The sequence below is a fragment of the Homo sapiens genome, chromosome 4, assembly GCF_000001405.40.
Source record: "Homo sapiens chromosome 4, GRCh38.p14 Primary Assembly".
In the NCBI taxonomy this organism is placed as follows: Eukaryota; Metazoa; Chordata; class Mammalia; order Primates; family Hominidae; genus Homo; species Homo sapiens.
The window spans coordinates 140,955,757-140,975,727 of record NC_000004.12 but is presented as its reverse complement, the minus strand read 5'-3'; the positions used below and the strand labels follow the sequence as shown (position 1 = coordinate 140,975,727).

Genomic DNA, 19,971 nt, shown 5'->3' with positions numbered 1-19,971 from the left:
TGGAGGAACAAGACTAAGACCTCCACCTTGGTTTTCCCCAGAAAATAGGATCAGGCAGAGAAACTGGTTCTATCAGGGGAACATGAGCTCATTAGGAAGTTATCAAAACAACAGAGGAATCCCACCATTATTAAAGATAGTACCAAATGAGTAGATACCACCTGAGAAAGAATGGTTTAAAAATGGACCACAAATATTAAGGGAAGATTCTATGCAGCAGGAACTAGAAGTTGTTTTATAAAACACATACACACACAATGGGAAATATTTAGTGTGAAAAATACAATACAGTCTTGCCTCCATCTTCCCTGGGGATTGGTTCCAGGACCACCTGCAGATACCTGCACAAACTCAAAATCTGCACAAACTCACCTCCCACGGTCAGCTCTGCAGAATCCCCAAAAAGTTGCCTTTCGTATAGCTAGGTTTCAAATCCTGCAAATACTGTATTTTATGTATTTGTTTTTCTGAGACAAGGTCTTGCTCTGTCACTCAGCCTGGAGCACAGTGGCACAATCATGGCTCATTGCGGGCTCCTCGACCTACCAGGCTCAAGTCATCCTCCCACCTCAGGCTCCCAAGTAGCTGGAACTACAGGAGCATGCCACCACACCCAGCTAATTTTCGTATTTTTTGTAGAGGCAGGGTTTCGCCGTGTTGTCCAGGCTGGTCTCGAACTCCTGAACTGAAGCAATCCTCCTGCCTTGGCCTCCCAAAGTGCTGAGATTACAGGTGTGAGACCCCATGCCCAGTCTCAAATGCTGCATTTTTTATTCACATTTGGTTGCAGATCAAAGGGCCAATTATATCATTGAAAAAAATCCATGTATTAGCGGACCCATGCAGTTCAAGCCTGTGTTGATGAAGGGTCGCCTGTAGTTTAAACAAAGAGCACTAAAATATGGGATAAAATATAAATGGATACAATAAAGACAAATTTATGAGCTGGAAGATCAGCTTCAAAAATTAGAAGTCACTCACAATGAATGAAGAGATATTGTAAAGACACAATGCAATACCTTTGTACACCTCTCAGGATGGCTAAAATAAAATAGTGATAATACCAAGTCTTACCAGGATACTAAGAAACTGAATCATTCATACATTGCTGGTGGGAATGTAAAATGATACAGCCACTCTGGAAAACAGTTTGTCCGTTTCTTAGAACACCAAATGTTCAACTACCGTACAAGCTAGCAGTTATACTCCTTTGCATTCATCCCAGAGATATGAACATTTATATTCATCCAAAAACTAATGTTCATAGCAGCTTTATTTGTAATATCCAAAAACTGGCAATAATCCGTATGTCCATCAATTGGCGAATAATTAAACTGTGGTGTACCACATTCTCTACCATGGAATTATACTCAGAAATCAAGAGGAATGAATTACTGATACATGCTTGTTTGGATAAGGACATTATGCTGAATGAGAAAAAGCCAATCTAGAGGATCACATACCATATGATTCCGTTTATGTAACATTCTAAAACTGACAAAATTAATATGGAGAATATACAAGGCTTAGGGAAGGGAAAGCAGAGAGTGAGGGGATTTCTTATTGATGGTGGAATATGTCAGTGTCTTAATTGTGTTAGTGGTTATATGACTCTATATATGTGATAAAATTTCATAGAATTAAACACAGAGACATTTAAAATTTTGTACATGCAAAAACTGGTGAAATCCAAATAAATTCCATAATCTACTTAATTATATTTTGCCAATTTCCTGTTTTGATAATGCACTATAATTATATAAGATGACACCATCAGAGGAAGCTGGGAGGTTGGTTCATAGGACCTCCGTGTACTGTTTTTACCTCTTCTTTTTTTTTTTTTTTTTTTTTTTAAACAGAGTCTCACTTGTCACCCAGGCTAGAGTGCAGTGGTGTGATCTTGGCTCACTGCAACCTCTGCCTCCCAGGTTCAAGCAATTCTCCTGCCTCAGCCTCCCAAGTAGCTGGGATTACAGGCACACGCCACCATCCCCGTCTAATTTTTGTATTTTTAGTAGAGACAGAATTTCACCATGTTGGTCAAGCTGGTCTTTAACTCCTGACCTCAGGTGATCCGCCCACCTCAGCCTCCCAAAGTGCTGGGATTACAGGCATGAGCCACCATGCCCGGCATGTTTATACCACTTGTTATTAGTCTATAATTATTTCAAAATACAGTTTTTTTTTCAAATGAGAGGGGTATAAGAAATATGGAGGAAGAAAAGGAGGTGCTACCCCAACAGGATAATAGGAATCACAGGAGAGAAAAAATTTAGGAGGAAATACTGTAATAAAATATGAAGAAAAATGTTTCAGAATTAAAGATAAAATGAAATACCTCAGATTGAAAATGTACATGTATTACAAATATAACTGAGTTCTCTCATAAACAGACATGGTGACATTGTCAAGACATTGTGAATTATCAATTCTTAGTAAAAGTAAACCACAGATTACTTACTTATTTTACTGCTGTTGAATAATTTATTTCTTTCTAGTTTTTTCACATTTTTCCTAGCTTTACTGATGTATAATTGACAACATTAAATTGTATATATTTAAGTATTCTCATCACTTACTTGATGGTAGGGAGGTACAGTCTGCATTTGTCAATATGGATTCCCCTCTGTAACTTCTGAGAAGAGTCCTGAATGGTTTTCTAATTTTAATAACATAATTATCTTGTCTTTTATACATGGTCATGTGATACCCCAAATAATGATAGTGTGTGCTCTTCTTTCCAAGACTTAGCATCCAATTTCTTTGTCTCTTGCACCAAGTATAACTTCTTACAATGTTGGCTCATCCTGTCTTATTCATGATTTTAACTGAAAAACTTCCAGTGCTTTTCCCCCATTTAATGGAATATTTCTTAATGATACTTATTATCACATTAAAGAAATTTCCTTTTATTACTCATAAAAAGAATCAGGAATGAGTTCAGTCCTCAACAGATGGGTTCCTTCTCTGTGAAGCTGGCTGCTCATGTCTCTCCATCTGAAGTCAAAAGGAAGGGAGAGAAGGGACCTGGAGAGCACACACTCAGTTCTTTTGTAGATAAGTTCCTGGAGTGGCGAGTATCATCTGTACTCACACCTAGATGACCAAATACTAATCACACACCACACCCAGCTGCAGGGGAGCCTTTTCACTGGACAGCCTATGCCTAGCTAAAACATTCATACTGTAGAAGGAAGAAAGGCCCAATATTGGAGGACAACTAGCTATGTAATATAATTGTATGCCTTATTCCTTTAATTTGTTAATGTACTAAAATGTACTAATATATTTTCTAATATTAAATCATCTTCACATTCCTAGGATAAATCCCACTTGGTCATGAAGTTTTTTTACTGTATTATTGGATTCTGTTTGTGAGTACTGTATTTAGGATTTTTACATCTGTGTTTATTAAAAATATACTTGTTGATGCAAAAAGTAGTAATTACACTTTACATTTATATGGTATTTTGCAGTTTTTAAAATAATTTCATACACATTCCTCCTGAGAATAAATGATCAACAAGAGAGGACTATAGTTTTGAAAAAGTAGATATTAAGTGTACAAATAGAAAATATCTACAAATGGGACAATATAAGTTTTTTTGGTCACCTGAGGACTATAGTTTTGAAAAAGTGGATATTAAGTGTACAAATAGAAAATATCTACAAATGGGACAATATAAATTTTTTTTTTTGTCACCTAAGTTCTAGAGGGCCAACAGTGAGACTGAGATTGAAGTAAAGATTAGTGTAGAGAAAAGAATACAGGAGGTTGAAAAAGGATTTTTGATCAAACAAACCCAGGGAGAGATGCTGTCACTCTCCAGGGTCCCAGGGAAGAATGGGATTACAGGCTTTGTGAAATGTCTAGCACTGTACTGCTATTCTAGATATTTTATTAATACAATGTCTAAACAACCTGGTTTGAATTTACAAGTAAAGCTTTCCTAGTTATTAAACAATATTTGGCTTTGTGAACTTCTGTTTTGATTCCTTATTAATCTGCATATACCAAATTAGATCCTGGCAATGGAGCACTCTCAAGGGAAAAGGAAGCACTAAAAATACAGGATGCTCCTCTGCTGTCGTCTGGCAGCCAGGTCATATGTGTCCTGGTCACACATTTTCTCCCTGACTGTAGAGCTTTTCCAGAGCACACAATAATTACATAATAGCAACTTCTCACCACTCAAGTATAAAGTGCCTTTGGGAGGAAAATAGATAGTAGGCTGATATAATTTTGCAAAAAGAGGCACTCTGTGTCACAGTAAATAGAATTGCCCAAATAGCCGGACCTCCTTGTGGGTTTTCCCATACCAAATATGCTATTTGTTAACTTCTTTTCCCTGAGCCTTGGAATGTCATAGATGCGTAGTAGCTACTTAAGGCAGCATTGAACTCTCAGATCACTGTGCTGGGCTTGCACCACTCCCCCTAGCCCCACCCCTTTTTCTCCTTCCCTGCCTCACACCCACCCACAGAAGCAAAGCATATCCTAGTATACTTGGGAGAACCTGCTGGCTTCTCCCTGAAACTGTAGCTGCAGATTCCAAAATGAAGCAAAGATCAGGGAATTTGATACTCATATCAGTGCACATGCCTCAGTTGAACAATATAGATCCTGGAGGAGCATTTTGCCCTGGATTTTGTGCATTCATCAGAATAAGATAATTCATCCAAATCCACTTTGTTTTATATCTTTTTTTGGACACCCTAGATACCTAAATTCTTAGTGACTGTTTCTATTAGGATAAATACATATCCCTAGTATCACTTTTCACCATGCACAATAGACTAAAGCACACCAGAGTAATCTCCCAAAATCTCATCTGTTTTTACCATGATGAACTCTAGAAATGTATTATGAATACTGAAAATGAATAAGGTTGAAGCTCAGATGAACAGGCCCTCCCCACTGCCATTTGCACTGTTTGTCTTTCTAAGTGGATATTATATGTCATGAGGGCACAACAGTGGCACAGACAACACAAGTGGTGTAACTAAGCACTGAAGTTTAAAATAAATGCTTTAAAATAGTTAATTATACTTTACCCTACAGGAAGAAAAAGTGTTTTCTGAAGTCCCTGAAAATGGATGATGAGTATTTAAAGCCTTGTGGAGATCCAAAATTTGGTTGCCTATTTTTAAAATGCTGAACTGGGATTTAAAACAAGCTGTCCAGGTCCAGAAGCCAACTCTGTTAGACTCTAGTTTCTTAAGTATAAGTAATTTAGGAATATTGTATGGGTGGGGAGGGGGATAGTGAAGGAAGAGTTAGGCTACCAGATAGTAAATATGTTAAAAGCTATACAACTAAAACAGCCTGTTACAGGTTCAGCAAAAGATAGGTCAACCTCACAACAAGAGCAAAAAGTGCAAAATTGACCCAAATATATCTGATAATTTAGGGGAAAAAATTGCATCCTAATCTTCCTTCTTTCTGCTTATCACATTGTAAGAATTCAATAAATATTGTTATTAAATCGAAGATTGCTCAAGATTTAAATGTAAAAAGTAAAGCTGTAAGGTTTTGAGAAGCTATTTTAGATGAGTATTTCTATAATCTTGGGTGGAAAATAGTTTCTAAATAGTTCTAAAGAGTATCAAAACTGGAAGCCATAGAGGAATATATTAGTGAAATCTGACTACTAAAAAGTGTAAGTCTGGGCATGGTGACTCAGGCCTGTTATCCCAGCACTTGGGGAGGCCAAGGCAGGTGGATCAGTTGAGGTCAGGAGTTCAAGACGAGCCTGGCCAATATGGCGAAACTCTGTCTCTACTAAAAAGACAAAAATTAGCAAGGCATGATGGCGCATACCTGTAGTCCCAGCTACTTGGGAGGCTGAGGCCTCTAAAAATTGCTTGAATCTGGGAGGCAGAGGTTGCAGTGAGCCGAGATCATGCCACTGCACTCCAGCCTGGGCAACAGAGCAAGACTCTGTCTCAAAAAAAAAAAAAAAAAAAAAAAGTAAAACTTGTGCATTTCTGAACATCCAAAGCCTCATAAATAACCCCAAGATCCTGTCCCAAAAAAAAAAATGTACTTCTAGAGCTTTAAGTAAACATGCCAAAATAATATAAATAAGGGAATAAATGAAATGAAAAATTATTATTCTACCATTACTTCAGTAACTCTAAATAGCTGCAGCACCAGGATGAGCCTCACTAGGCCAGATTAGTCCAGTATACAAAGAAGATCATGTTTCTTTAGAGACAAAACCAGCCAGCAGCCTTAATCCCCCACACAACCTCAGACCACATGCAGCCATTAACCAAAGTAAAAATGAAAAGAAAAGGCGCGTCAAAATTGCCAGTAAATTCTTCAGAGTTGAAAATCGAGCCACCACTTTCAGTTATTCCCAGAAATAACAGCCAAACCCATACTATGGCTTTATGATTTTACAATTGGATTTGCAAAATTTCAGAAATCTTTTAAATATATAATTGATGTAGCATACACAGACACTTTAATATGTAGTTTTAAAGTAGTTGTTCAGCCTAAGTGAAACACCATCAAGGAATTTAAGGTTGAAAACCTGCACAGAGATCAAGGTCAAAGGAAAGCCCTAAGTAATATTCTAAGAAACTTGCAACAGCCTGAGCAAATGTAACCTGGTAGTTCCATCTAACTGACCTCAACATGTGAATACAGCCAGCGTTAAGCAGCTGTAGTGGAGTTTAATTTTGCCCTGAATCTACAACATCCTTGTTGCAAATTTCCTCCCTTTAATTTGTAGTCACTCTAGGTAATGGGATATTTCCATGTGGATGCGAGGCCTCTGTGCCCTAATCATCTTGCATCTTTCTCCCTGGATTTGAATTGGGGTGATTCCTGCAAACATACCCTAATGAAATTAATATAAATATTAATATTAATTAATATTAATATTTGAATCTGGTATGATATTACTGAAGAACTCCTTGTAGGGGCCCCAGAACTCCTCACCAAGAGGCTTCACTTCACACAGTGTCATGATGCGTAAGGACAATGACCCATATATATAAAAGTGGCCCAAGAAAAAATGGTACTTTTGCTCCAAGCTGTCTAATAACTGGAGCAGCCGTGGTGGGAGTATCTAAGAGTGGAAGTGAAACAATCCTGGAATTATCTGTACTGCTTCCATCTTCTCCTTGCTTGGTATGTGCCTTGTGGTTCAATGGAAACATTGCACCATACTTCTCTTTGCTTGGTACGTGGTTCAGTGGAAACATGCTGTTTCCATTGAATTAGGTAAAATAAGCAGAAAATAGTTCTGGGACCATAATTTCATGTTGGCAAATCATATTAGAGCTTCTTAATGTTCTTTTTTGGTTGCTTGAGTACTCACTATAGGAGAAAATTGCCTTGGAAATAATATAGAGAGATCTATAGTTGAATATTCATAGTGTTTGTGTGGGGGAGAGAGAGCTCTCAGGTGGCATAAGACAGGACATTTTACCCTTTTGTCATGGAATGCAAAGTCCCATTCCCTTCCTCAGGGGATCTATGGAATGCAACATAGAACTGTAAACTGGGCTGGTTGGGAAGGGTCCACCTTTACCAGACCTGGAGTCAATGCTTTGGAGAGTTGAAAAGGGCATCGCAAGATTATGACTTCACTGGTACTAAAATCATGAATGCATTTTAGGTTCTTTTTTCACATATAAAACAGCAGCTGAAGAAAGCTAGGTAGCTGAAGAAAGAGAAAATTTGACTTGGTTTCTAAGTATTAGGTCTTCTTAGCCCAGCACAGAATTCTCAAAAGTACTGTCCTTATTTGGTTTCGTGTTACTGTGTCCACACATCTCACTGGGATCCCCCATATCTTATCCCCTAACCTTTATTGCCCCTTCCTTCCCCTCTTACCACAGGTGTAGAAGACATCGTGGCCATAATGATTCCTGAGCCAAAAGGGAAGGAGATAGTAAGCCTGCTGGAAAGAAACATCACCGTGACAATGTACATCACCATCGGAACCCGGAACTTGCAGAAATATGTGAGCCGCACTTCGGTTGTGTTTGTCTCCATCTCCTTCATTGTCCTGATGATCATTTCCCTCGCATGGCTCGTCTTTTATTACATCCAGAGGTTTCGATATGCAAATGCCAGGGATAGGAACCAGGTGAGTAGCAAAAAGTTAAAAAACTTTTAAAAATTGTTACAAAAATGTTATTAAACATCTTTGAACATGACAGAAAATACCAAGCCAAAACCAAAATATCCCCACTCAAGATAAACACTGTTAACATTTGCTGTATCATTTTTCAGATATTATCCAAATATATCTATTTTGATGTTTTACTGTGTTTTTATGTAAAATGGAGGTGATTTGTCCTACATTCCCATTGCTTATGTTTTTGACATTTGTTTATCCACATAATGAGGGGAACAAAAGGAAGTGCTAATAGTGTGAAGATAATTTGGAAAGAGCCAAGATTTTCTCCTTGTGAACAGAAGAAAAAAAAGGAGATAAAAACCAAAAGCTATTTTAAATAGCAATTAAACATATCATGTATACCCATGGTACAAAATGCAAAAAGTATCACATGGCGTATAATGAAAAGTAATTGCCTTCCCATGTGTGTCTCTCAGCTACCCAGTTCCTCTTCCTGGAATATCTTCCAGGGATATTCTATGCACTTATAAACACATATGCCCATATATTTCAAAAACAACAACAAATGATAGCACACTTAACTCTGTACGCTTCTCTCTCACTTCATCTTGCAGATTAATTTACATCAATACATAAGCCAAGCTTCCGTCTCACTTCTAATGACTGCATAGCATTCCATTGTCTGTATGTGTCACGTCTATTTAACCAGCACCTATTAACGGACATGTTTTCTCTTCTTAACAGAACATGTACACATGACACTTAGTACATTTGTAAGTATATCTACAAGGTAAAATCCTGGAAGTTTAGTTGCCAGGGCAATGGCATATACATTTTAGACTATGATAGATACTGCCACATTGTCTGCCAAAAAATGTTGAACCAATTTACACTTTAACAAACTATATATGAAAATTACTGTTTCCCCATATCCTTACCAAAAGAATATTATAACTTTTTTTTATTGTTAGTGATTTGGTAAGTTAAAAATGGTACCACATTTTTCTTATTACAAGTAACATTGAACATCTTTTCAAGTACAATAGAAAAAGTGAATATTTTTGGTGAAGTAACTACTTTTATTATTTGACTTCTTTTCAATTGAGTTGTCATTTTCTTATTAATGTGTATAAACTCTTTATTAGTCAAGGAAATTAACCCTTTTTTGTAGGATAGGATTCACCTCACCACCCCTCAGCTTGTCATTGTCTTTTATTTTATCCATGGTCTTGCCATGCAGAAATTTTTGGTTTTTACAGAGCTACATTTATTATCTTTTTTTCTTGAGATGGAGTCTCGCTCACTGTGTCACCCAGGGTGGAGTCCAGTGGCAAAATCTTGGCTCATTGCAACCTTCACCTCCTGGGTTCAAGAGATTCTCGTGCCTTGGCCTCCCAAGTAGCTAGGATTACAGGCATACACCACCACACCTGGCTAATTTTTGTTTTGTTTTTTCAGTAGAGGTGGGTTTTCACTATGTTGGCCAGGCTAGTCTCAAACTCCTGACCTCAAGTAATCTTCCCACCTCGGCCTCCCAAAGTGCTGGGATTACAGGCGTGAGCCACTACACCTGGTGTATTAATCTTTTTTAAAAAAATAAATTTTATTGTGTATAGTTGAAGTTTACAGTATGGTGTTTGGGGAGTCATACAGACAGTAAAATGGTTAATATAGTAAAGCAAATTGACATATCTATTGTCTCACATAGTTTTTTGATGACAAGAGCAGGTAAAATCTACTTATTTAACAGAAATTTCTAATACAATACAGTTTTTTAGCTGTAGTCATTTTACATTAGATCTCTAGACTTGCTCATGATACATTCTGCTACTTTGTATCCTTTGACCTAAATCTCCCCATTTTCTCTCCACTCCCCCACTCCGGTAACCGCTTGTTTATTCTCTATCTCTGGACATTTGACCTTTCTTAAAAAATTATATTCCATATATAGGTGAGATCAGTATTTTTCTTTCTATGTCTGGCTGATTTCACTTAACACGATGTCCTCCAGGCCCATCTATGTTGTGGCAAATGTCAGGATATCCCTTGTTGAGAATAAACAATAATAATCCATTGTATGTGTGTATGTATATACATTTTCTTTATCCATTCGTCCTTCAGTGGACACATGGACACTTAGGTCGCTTCCCTATCTTCGCTGTCGTGAATAATGTCACAATTAACATGGGGGTGCAGATATCTTTCCAAGGTGGTGGTTTTATCTCCCTTGGATATATACCCAGAAGAGGGATTGGTAAATCTTCAATGGTAGTTCTGTTTTTTATTTCTTTAGGAACCTCTGTACCGTTTCCCCTAATGGCTGTGCCCATCTACATTCCCACCAACAGTGTACTAGGATTCCTTTTTCTCCATACCCTCACCAACACTTGTTAGCTCTTGTTTTCTGCATGATAGACGTCCTAACAGGTGTGAGGTGTGATCTCATAGTGGTTTTAGCATTTCCATTCCATAATAAGATTTTCTATAGACCAAGATTACTGAAAAGCATTCATGTTTTCACCCTCTACTTTTCAAATTTCTTTTTTCTCATTAAATCTTTAATCTGTAGATAACTTATTTCAGTGTAATGAATGAAGTAGAGAGCTGACATTATTTTTTTTCAGATGGCCTACCATTTTTATAACTGGCATTTATTGAATAATTAATCTCTCCCCCCCTCATATGCAGTATCCCCATTTAACATATATTAAATACCCATATATACTTGCTTCTATTTCTGTGCTCTCTAAACCATACCATGAATCTAGGTCTCCATTCATACTCCAGCACCATCTTGTTTTTAGTACTCTAGAATTATAATGTCTCACGGCTGTTCATGCTGTTTTCTTTATTGCTCTATTTTTACTCTTTTCATGTTTATTTTTGTATGAATTTAGAATCATTATATGAGTTTTTAAACTTATAGGATAATTTAGGGGAAATTTGTAACTTTATGATGTTTAATCTTCCCATTCAAATGTAATAAGTTTTCGCCTTATTCAACTCTTCTTTTTATTCCCAGTAGCACTTTTCAGCATTTATTAATCTTGTACACTTTTCTTCAGTTAGTTCTAGGTATTTAATCATTACGTTGCCATTATAATTTAAATTCATTTTTTCATATTGGAAATTTTGGATTGTTGTATATTTTGTATATTATTAACAGCCTCATTGTTATAACCCTAATTATAATAATGTATAACATTTATTATATGCTGCAGGCATGTTCTAAGAGCTCTCTCGCTCTATTTACCTACTTTCACCTTAATAGATACTAGCCCCATAATAAACAATTTTATTGTCCCCGTTTTACAGAGTTGGAAGTAAGCACAGAGAGTTTAAGTAATTTGCCCAAGGTCACACAGCTGGTTACTAATAGAGCCAGCAATTGAACCAGCAGCAGAACTCCAGAGTCCATGCCCTTAGCCACTACTTTGTAGTATTTGTGATTATTTATATTAGTGTTGCAGAACTATATTAATAATGCTTACAGTCAGGGATAACTTACTGCTTTCAAATGTTAGACATCCTGTTTTTTCTGTTATCTCATTTCATTGGTTGGAATCTCCAGAATAAACTAAAGTAATCATGGTTACAGTGAACATATTTCTCTTCATTGTGTATTTAATGGGAACATCCTCAATTTAATGGGATTGTTTTTATCATTTCTTCATTTTATTATTTTCCCGTGTAGTCTTCTAGATTGAGATATATATTTTATCATGTTATAAAATATATAATGTCAGAAGTGTCAACTTAGTTCTATCTTATTAAGAATTTTTTAATCAAGAATGGATGTTTGATTTTAACCAATGTCTTTCCAATGGCCATAGTCTAAGTTTTCTCTTTAGATCTATTAAAATAAATGGATGATATTAATGGATTTCCATTATGAACCATCCTGAATTTCTGCTATATACTATTCCTCTAATGTGTGTGAGATTATATTTGCTAGTGTTTTATTTATTATTTGTTTGCCATTATATTCATATATGAAATCTGTTCATAGTTTACATTTTTATTATGTTTAGATAATGATTATACTGTCTTCTAAGAAGAATTTGCAAACTTTTCTCCATTTTCTGTGATCTAGAGCTGTGGTGTCCAACATGGTAGTCACTAGCCATGTGTGGCTATTTAAATTAATTGTAATAAAATAAACTTCAAAATTCTGTTCCTCAGTTACTAGCCATATTTCATGTGGCCACCATATGGCAGTGCATGTATAGGACATTTTTATCACTACAGAAAGTCTTATTGGGTAACACTGCACTCGAGCATTTTAAATAGCACTGGAATTAGCTGATTCTTAAAGTATTGGTAGAAATTTTCTGTAAGTTAATGAGGTCTAAGTTTGGGAATGTTTTAGGAGACATCTCTTCCTTTTCTATTAATTTTATCGCAAATTCTCTGCTTAAATTTTCTGTAGCTTCTGGGACAATGTTTAAAAACATTTTTATTGCTTATATCTGATTCTCAAAATGATACATGCTATTTTAGTAAATTTCACAATCATAGAAAAATTCTGAAAAAGACAAGTTACCCACTATCCCACTAAATTGTCAACATGTGAGTATATTACCTTTCAGGTATTTTTAATTCTATCTATATATATTGAGTAAATTTTCATTATATGTGTATCTATATATGCAGAAGACACAAACATATCCATGTATGTTTTATGTTCTGCTTTTTATTGAATAGTATGTCCCTCTATCATTAAATAATTTTCAAAAACATGATTTTTATGGCCACATAGTAGTGAAGTGCCACTGCTTACCCAAAATGGGAAACTTACTTAATTTCTTTATTCATTGTTTTTCTAAACTAAATGGAATGTACCTTTCTCTTACGGTCACAGTGAGGATTAAATGGATTAATGTGTATTACTTTTAAAGCCGCTGAGCCTGGCACTAATCATTCAGTCAGCACTCAATGAATGATATCCTTTATTATTATCATATAGATTCTTTGATGACTGCTTACAAATTCAATTTTGCCACTTTCATTAAATATTCTGGAATTTAAATGGATAGAATCCCAAACACAAGGCAATGAAAATGAGATGTAGAACTAATATGCTTCAGTTGGTTCATATGGGGCTACATGTGAGAAACTTTTATATATATATATGTGTGTGTGTGTGTGAGATATACATATAACATATATATCATATACGTATATATGAATACATATGAAGAAATATATATATACACATCTTCATTATATATGTGTGTGTATATATATATGTCTTATATATGCACATATGCACTGCCATATGGTGGCCACATGAAATGTGGCTAGTAACTGAGGAACAGAATTTTAAAGTTTATTTTATTAAAATTAACTTAAATTTAAATAGTCACACATAGCTAGTGACCACAGCTCTAGACTGAAGAAAATGGAGAAAAGTTTGCAAACTCTTCTTAGAAAACAGTATAATCATTATCTAAACACAATAAAAATGTAAACTATATGTGTTTCTTCATATGTATTCATATATACGTGTGTGTGTGTGTGCGCGCGTGTGTGTAGAGAGAGAGAGAGTAGAGAGAGAGAGAGAAGAGAGAGAGAGAGATGTTAATCAGACGATGATATTAGAAATGGCATCCCTGTATTTTTGGGCCTGTGATAATTTAAGCAATTATTAGGCAGTAGAGATATGGATGAAATCTTAAGCTTGAATTAGTTGAGTAATGACTTCAATCATTATGTTACTTTCTGCAGGTAGATCTAGCTTGCATGTTTATCTAGACACATGCATACTGTGAGGTATATGAAAAACAAATTGAAAGGTAGTGGTATGAAAGTGGTTCATGGGGTTTAAATTTTTATTCTCCTCCCAGTTTGTTAACTTTCCTTGAATTGTAGGATGCTACCATAGGGTCACTCAGTGAATTGTGATCATGTTAAAAGTTAACACTCCTTCCTGATCAAATGGACACTATACTTTAGCCCTTTGATGGATGGAATAACATATAATTTCCCTTAGAAAAATATTTCTGCTTTAATGGCCAGTGTTCCACTCCATTCAACAGAAAGTTATAGCTGTACAGGTCATAGCTATAATAAGCATCAGGTTAACTTAAACCATTTATTTTTATTAAAGCATTATTGTCCTTCAGAAAGAGTGACTTTCAGGTTAGATGAAGGCTCACAGCCTGAAATGGAACATCAAAGCCATTTATTTTACATTGTCGAAGTATCCAGCCATTCAGGTATATGAAAGAGAGACTGACCTTGAATTAGCCAGATGAGCACCTCAGTCTCTGCTTGGCTTTGTGCAGATCACAATTAAAAGAAAGTCACCAGCATCTTACATAATCATGGCCACTTTCATGTCACATGTACCTGGAGAAGATCATTTCAATTCAGTTTCCCATGAAGTAATATTTGCTAAATGTTCTTCACATTATAAGCCTCCCAGCAAGGTCTTTTAGATGGTAACATGGAGAATAAGGGCTACAACTAAAAATGGAGAGAAGATTTGGCTGGTGTGCCATGTTTCCTAAAGATTTAACCAAGTTAAATCTGGTAGAGGGTAATAGCTAAAGATACCAACTTTGGAGTCAGATGGGTCTCGATTCAAATCTTTGCTTTGATAATTCCTAGTGGTGTGACTTTGCACAAGTTACTTCACCTTTCTATGCCCAGGCTTCCCCACATGTAAAGCCAGCCCCGTAGGCTTGATGTGAGGGTTGAATGAGAAAATATGCGTGACATATTATTAGAGGGTTGTTAAATGGGTCACGTTTAGTGGATAAAGCAATTCTTGGAAAATATATTCCCCACCTTCCCCCCACACCTGCGCAAATAGTAAATATCTCAATTCTTACATACCTTACATATAGTTTAGTCTACATATGGCCTTTTTAGCTCTATTGACACACTTTGAAACAAAATGGAATCTTCCATCTTTACTCAAGAGTCAGGGAAAAGCTCTCTGGACCCTATCCTTTGGGGTTTTTATTGAGGTTTCATCATGTAGGCATGATTGATTAAATTATTGGCCATTGTTGATCAACTCAGCCTTCAAGCCCCTCTTCCCTCCCTAGAGGGCAGGGGTAGGAGTGAGGGAATCTGAAAATTCCAACCCTCTAATCACAGGATTGGTTCTCTATGCAACCAGACCTTTTTCTTAGAAGCTTTCCAAAGTTACCTCATTAACATAAACTCAGGTATGGTTGAAAAGTGTTTCTTATGAATTATAAAAACTACCCATTTACCTTTATCACTCCCATCACTTAGGAAATTACAAGCATTTTAGGAGTTCTAGCTGGGAGCTGGAATGAAGACCAAAATATAGATAGTCCTTATTATATATCACAGTATCACACAGCCTAATTATTAATAACTCCCCAATTTACTGTCAGAATTGTTCCAGTTTGGATGGTGAGTTCTATGGTTACCATATGTGTGAGAGAAAGAAAGGAATCAAGGACACATTTAGGTCAACTCTCATGGCATTTACTGGAACAGGAAAGATGGAAAAAGAAGAGAACCAAAGGGCTAGAGTATCAAGAATTTGGATTTGACGATGTTAAATTTAGAAGCCTTTTAGATATTGAAGCAGAGATGCCAGGTAGGTATTTTGATGTGTATGTCTGGAGCTCAGGAAAGAAGACAGGAATGGGGGTACCAATGTGGGGGATCATCAGAATACAGATGACACTAAAATTGTCAGGACAGGATGAGCTCACTTGGGGAGAGGGTATTGCAGAAGCGCTCTGTAGCCTGAGCCTGAGATACTCTAATACGGCCTCACCTCTACCCCAGCCTCTCTCCCGCAATCATATCATTTTATGTTAGTTTCTTTCCTTCCCAATTCTTACCACTATCTGGAATTTTTCTCTCCTTGCCTTACACCTTGCCTTCCCAGTGCACAATGACACTCTGAGGGAGTTGAAACAAGGAGGCTGATTTGCAAAGACCAAGGACAGCCTCACACGCCATGTGGAGCCATTGCTTCCCTGTTCGAGGTTAACTGTTCCACAGCCACCCTCTTCACTCGCGATGCTTGTTTTTCCTGGTAGCCCTATCATTTTTTCTTGAGACCATTTTCCTTTGGAGACCTTGGTCTGTCAGATGGCCTATATGTGCCTGAGTCCAGTGACTAATTGTTTCAAGCTCTCTCTGCACAGAGCTCAGGGAGGTGAATGGATTCATTCCCATTCAAGCCCTGTGACACTTAGGAGCATGTGGATTAGGATGCGGCTCTACTCAGAGCACACACAGCACATTTAGGGAGCCAATTTCCTAATGTCATATTCCAGCCCAGTGGAATCTTATCTCTGACCAAGCCCACAATACTCTTTAACATAATCAGACATAAATGTCACACCCCCAGGCAGCTAGATGGGGGTCAAGGTTGGGGTTTTAGGAGCTGGGACCACATAAAAGTGAGTAGGGTTTATATCTAACAATGGTTTTGGTGCGAAGTAGAATCAGAGTCTTAAGCAGGCCAGGGTTATAAGGCAAGAGGATAACCCAGGGTATTAAGTACATAGGACCATGTGGAGTTAGGAGCCAGATTTATCATAAAAATGGGAACAGTGGTCGAGCAAGGCAGGCCAGGTTGGGAGAGGAAGCTGAGGGAATGGTTTTCAGGTGAAGGAAACCTTTTATATCAGACTCTTCACCTGTTAAAATAGCAGGGCACTGGTAGAAGCCCTGATGGCATGGAAAGAGAAGTTGCAAACCACAACCCACTTGTCAAAGAAAGAAAGGCCCTATAATGATTACAAAAAATATTTTACTGTCCATTTAACACATGTCATGATGACTTTTGAATACCATGACAGACCTCTCTCTCCTCACCAGCCCTGATCATGCCCCTGGATGAGTACTTTAAGAAAATAGCCCATCGATGCCACCAGTGTGTGGACTTCTACACCGTGTAGCCTGGACACCTCTCAACTCAGCCCTGAGAACCCGTGTACCAGAGGGTTGCAGAGAGGAAACCACAGTCATGGGAACTGGGAGGCAGAAGACACCTGGCTGTCATTTCACTCAAGTATTTGAGAATGCTGATTGCCTGATCCTAGAATTACAGTTTTTAGAAGTTAAAGGAACAGTTGATAGAATGAATTTGGGAGAGAGAAATATAAAATGATTTTCTTTTCAAGGGCATGCAGCCAGATTGATGATTTCAAGTCAAAGTGTTTTCCACCAGACGAAGCCACCTCAATGGCATTGAGGTGCAGAGACCTAACCCAGGGGCGGGTTGCCAGTCTTTGCCTCAGTCATAGCCATAAAATGAGCAACTCTTGACCATTCAACACTGAGCGCTGGCCCTTTCCGGCTTTAGAAGCAAGGCTGTCATGTTAAGACCTTCCTAATAAAGTTATCCCTCAGCATCCATGAGGAATTGGTCCAGCACCCCCCTCCTACCCATGGATACCAAAATCTACAGTCCCTTATATGAAATGGCACATTATTTGCATGTAACGCATCCTCCCATATACTTTAAATCATCTCTTGTTTACTTATAGTACCTAATTACTTCTAGTACCTAATGTAAACACTATGTAAGTAGTGGTTATGCTGTGTTTTTTATTTATATTATTTTTGTTATTTTTTTAAATTATTATACTTTAAGTTTTAGGGTACATGTGCACAATGTGCAGGTTAGTTACATATGTATACATGTGCCATGCTGGTGCGCTACACCCACTAACTCGTCATCTAGCATTAGGTATATCTCCCAATGCTATCCCTCCCCCCACCCCACAACAGTCCCCAGAGTGTGACGTTCCCCTTCCTGTGTCCATGTGTTCTCATTGTTCATTTCCCACCTATGAGAGAGAATATGCGGTGTTTGGTTTTTTGTTCTTGTGATAGTTTACTGAGAATGATGATTTCCAATTTCATCCATGTCCCTACAAAGGACATAAACTCATCATTTTTTATGGCTGCATAGTATTCCATGGTGTATATGTGCCACATTTTCTTAATCCAGTCTATCATTGTTGGACATTTGGGTTGGTTCCAAGTCTTTGCTATTGTGAATAATGCCGCAATAAACATACGTGTACATGTGTCTTTATAGCAGCATGATTTATAGTCCTTTGGGTATATACCCAGTAATGGGATGGCTGGGTGAATGGTATTTCTAGTTCTAGATCCCTGAGGAATCGCCACACCGACTTCCACAATGGTTGAACCAGTTTACAGTCCCACCAACAGTGTAGAAGTGTTCCTATTTCTCCACATCCTCTCCAGCACCTGTTGTTTCCTGACTTTTTAATGATCACCATTCTAACTGGTGTGAGATGGTATCTCATTGTGGTTTTGATTTGCATTTCTCTGATGGCCAGTGATGGTGAGCATTTTTTCATGTGTTTTTTGGCTGCATAAATGTCCTCTTTTGAGAAGTGTCTGTTCATGTCCTTCGCCCACTTTTTGATGGGGTTGTTTTTTCTTGTAAATTTGCTTGAGTTCATTGTAGATTCTGGATATTAGCCCTTTGTCAGATGAGTAGGTTGCGAAAATTTTCTCCCATTTTGTAGGTTGCCTGTTCACTCTGATGGTAGTTTCTTTTGCTGTGCAGAAGCTCTTTAGTTTAATTAGATCCCATTTGTCAATTTTGGCTTTTGTTGCCATTGCTTTTGGTGTTTTAGACATGAAGTCCTTGCCCATGCCTATGTCCTGAATGGTAATGCCTAGGTTTTCTTCTAGGGTTTTTATGGTTTTAGGTCTAATGTTTAAGTCTTTAATCCATCTTGAATTGATTTTTGTATAAGGTGTAAGGAAGGGATCCAGTTTCAGCTTTCTACATATGTCTAGCCAGTTTTCCCAGCACCATTTATTAAATAGGGAATCCTTTCCCCATTGCTTGTTTTTCTCAGGTTTGTCAAAGATTAGGTAGTTGTAGATATGTGGTGTTATTTCTGAGGGCTCTGTTCTGTTCCATTGATCTATATCTCTGTTTTGGTACCAGTACCATGCTGTTTTGGTTACTGTAGCCTTGTAGTATAGTTTGAAGTCAGGTAGTGTGATCTTTTATTGTTTTTTCCCCCAAATGTGTTCAATCCATTATTGGTTGAATCTGCCATACAGAAAGCTGGCTGTGTCTAGTTTAAGATTCCTCACCTTAAGGGGCTTCCCAGAGAATGCTAAGGATTCATCTCCATTCTGCCTATCTAATGACCTACTATCTTGTGACCTCTTCTTGACCTTTGAGTTGGGAGGCCAGATTCATGACAGACTCCTGATCCTGAATACCAGTGTGCACTATGGACAGTTCTCCTGTCCCCACCAGAAGGCCAAGTATCCCCTCATTCCCTAGAGGTGCCACTTCTGCTGCCATTCACTGATTCTTACCATACTTATGAAAACCCTGCAGGATGGCAAGGCAAACAGCAAGCGGTGTTCCTGCCATGGCCATGGCAGGTATCCCTGTCTTTTGTGATGTCTTGGAATATTGTCTCACTATCTGCTAGGACATCTCATCTCAGACACAAGGACTGGGTCTGTGACTTGAAAAACACAGAACTCCCAATAGATGGTAGCTTATTCAAATATGGACAGATCAGATAAACTAAGTAGGGATCTTTTTTGGTTTTCATAAACAATATTGCCTTTGAGGCTAATCCAGGGAAACCAGATCTGTTTTGATTTGCTTTGTTTTTATTTGAGGCCTGGTAATGACATTCAGTAAAGTTTTCCTGAAAGATTTCTCTCTCCCTGAGAATAACTTTTCCTAATATTTACATGTACATGGCCCATGTGCCTTTGATTTCTTTTGCACGCATTGCACATTGATATTTAAACTATGTTGGAATAAAAGAAGTAATGAAATTTAAAATAAACATGAACTTCACAAAGAGAAACAGAAAGGAAAGGAGTTTGCCAAGTCTCAGCCACCAAGGGA

At 37.4% G+C, this 19,971-nt stretch overlaps 1 protein-coding gene across 7 annotated transcripts in view; it reads left to right on the top strand.

Annotated features, from left to right (window-relative positions):
* RNF150 (ring finger protein 150) overlaps window positions 1-19,971 on the top strand; it is a 353,094-nt gene that overhangs the window by 237,173 nt on the left and 95,950 nt on the right. For all 7 annotated transcript variants that reach the window (XM_047415998.1, XM_011532148.4, XM_017008475.2 and 4 more), the window contains one exon: window positions 7,855-8,105. In XM_047415998.1, coding sequence (XP_047271954.1) covers window positions 7,878-8,105 — 228 coding nt within the window. In that variant the 5' untranslated portion in view covers window positions 7,855-7,877. The remainder of the gene's footprint in view (window positions 1-7,854; window positions 8,106-19,971) is intronic.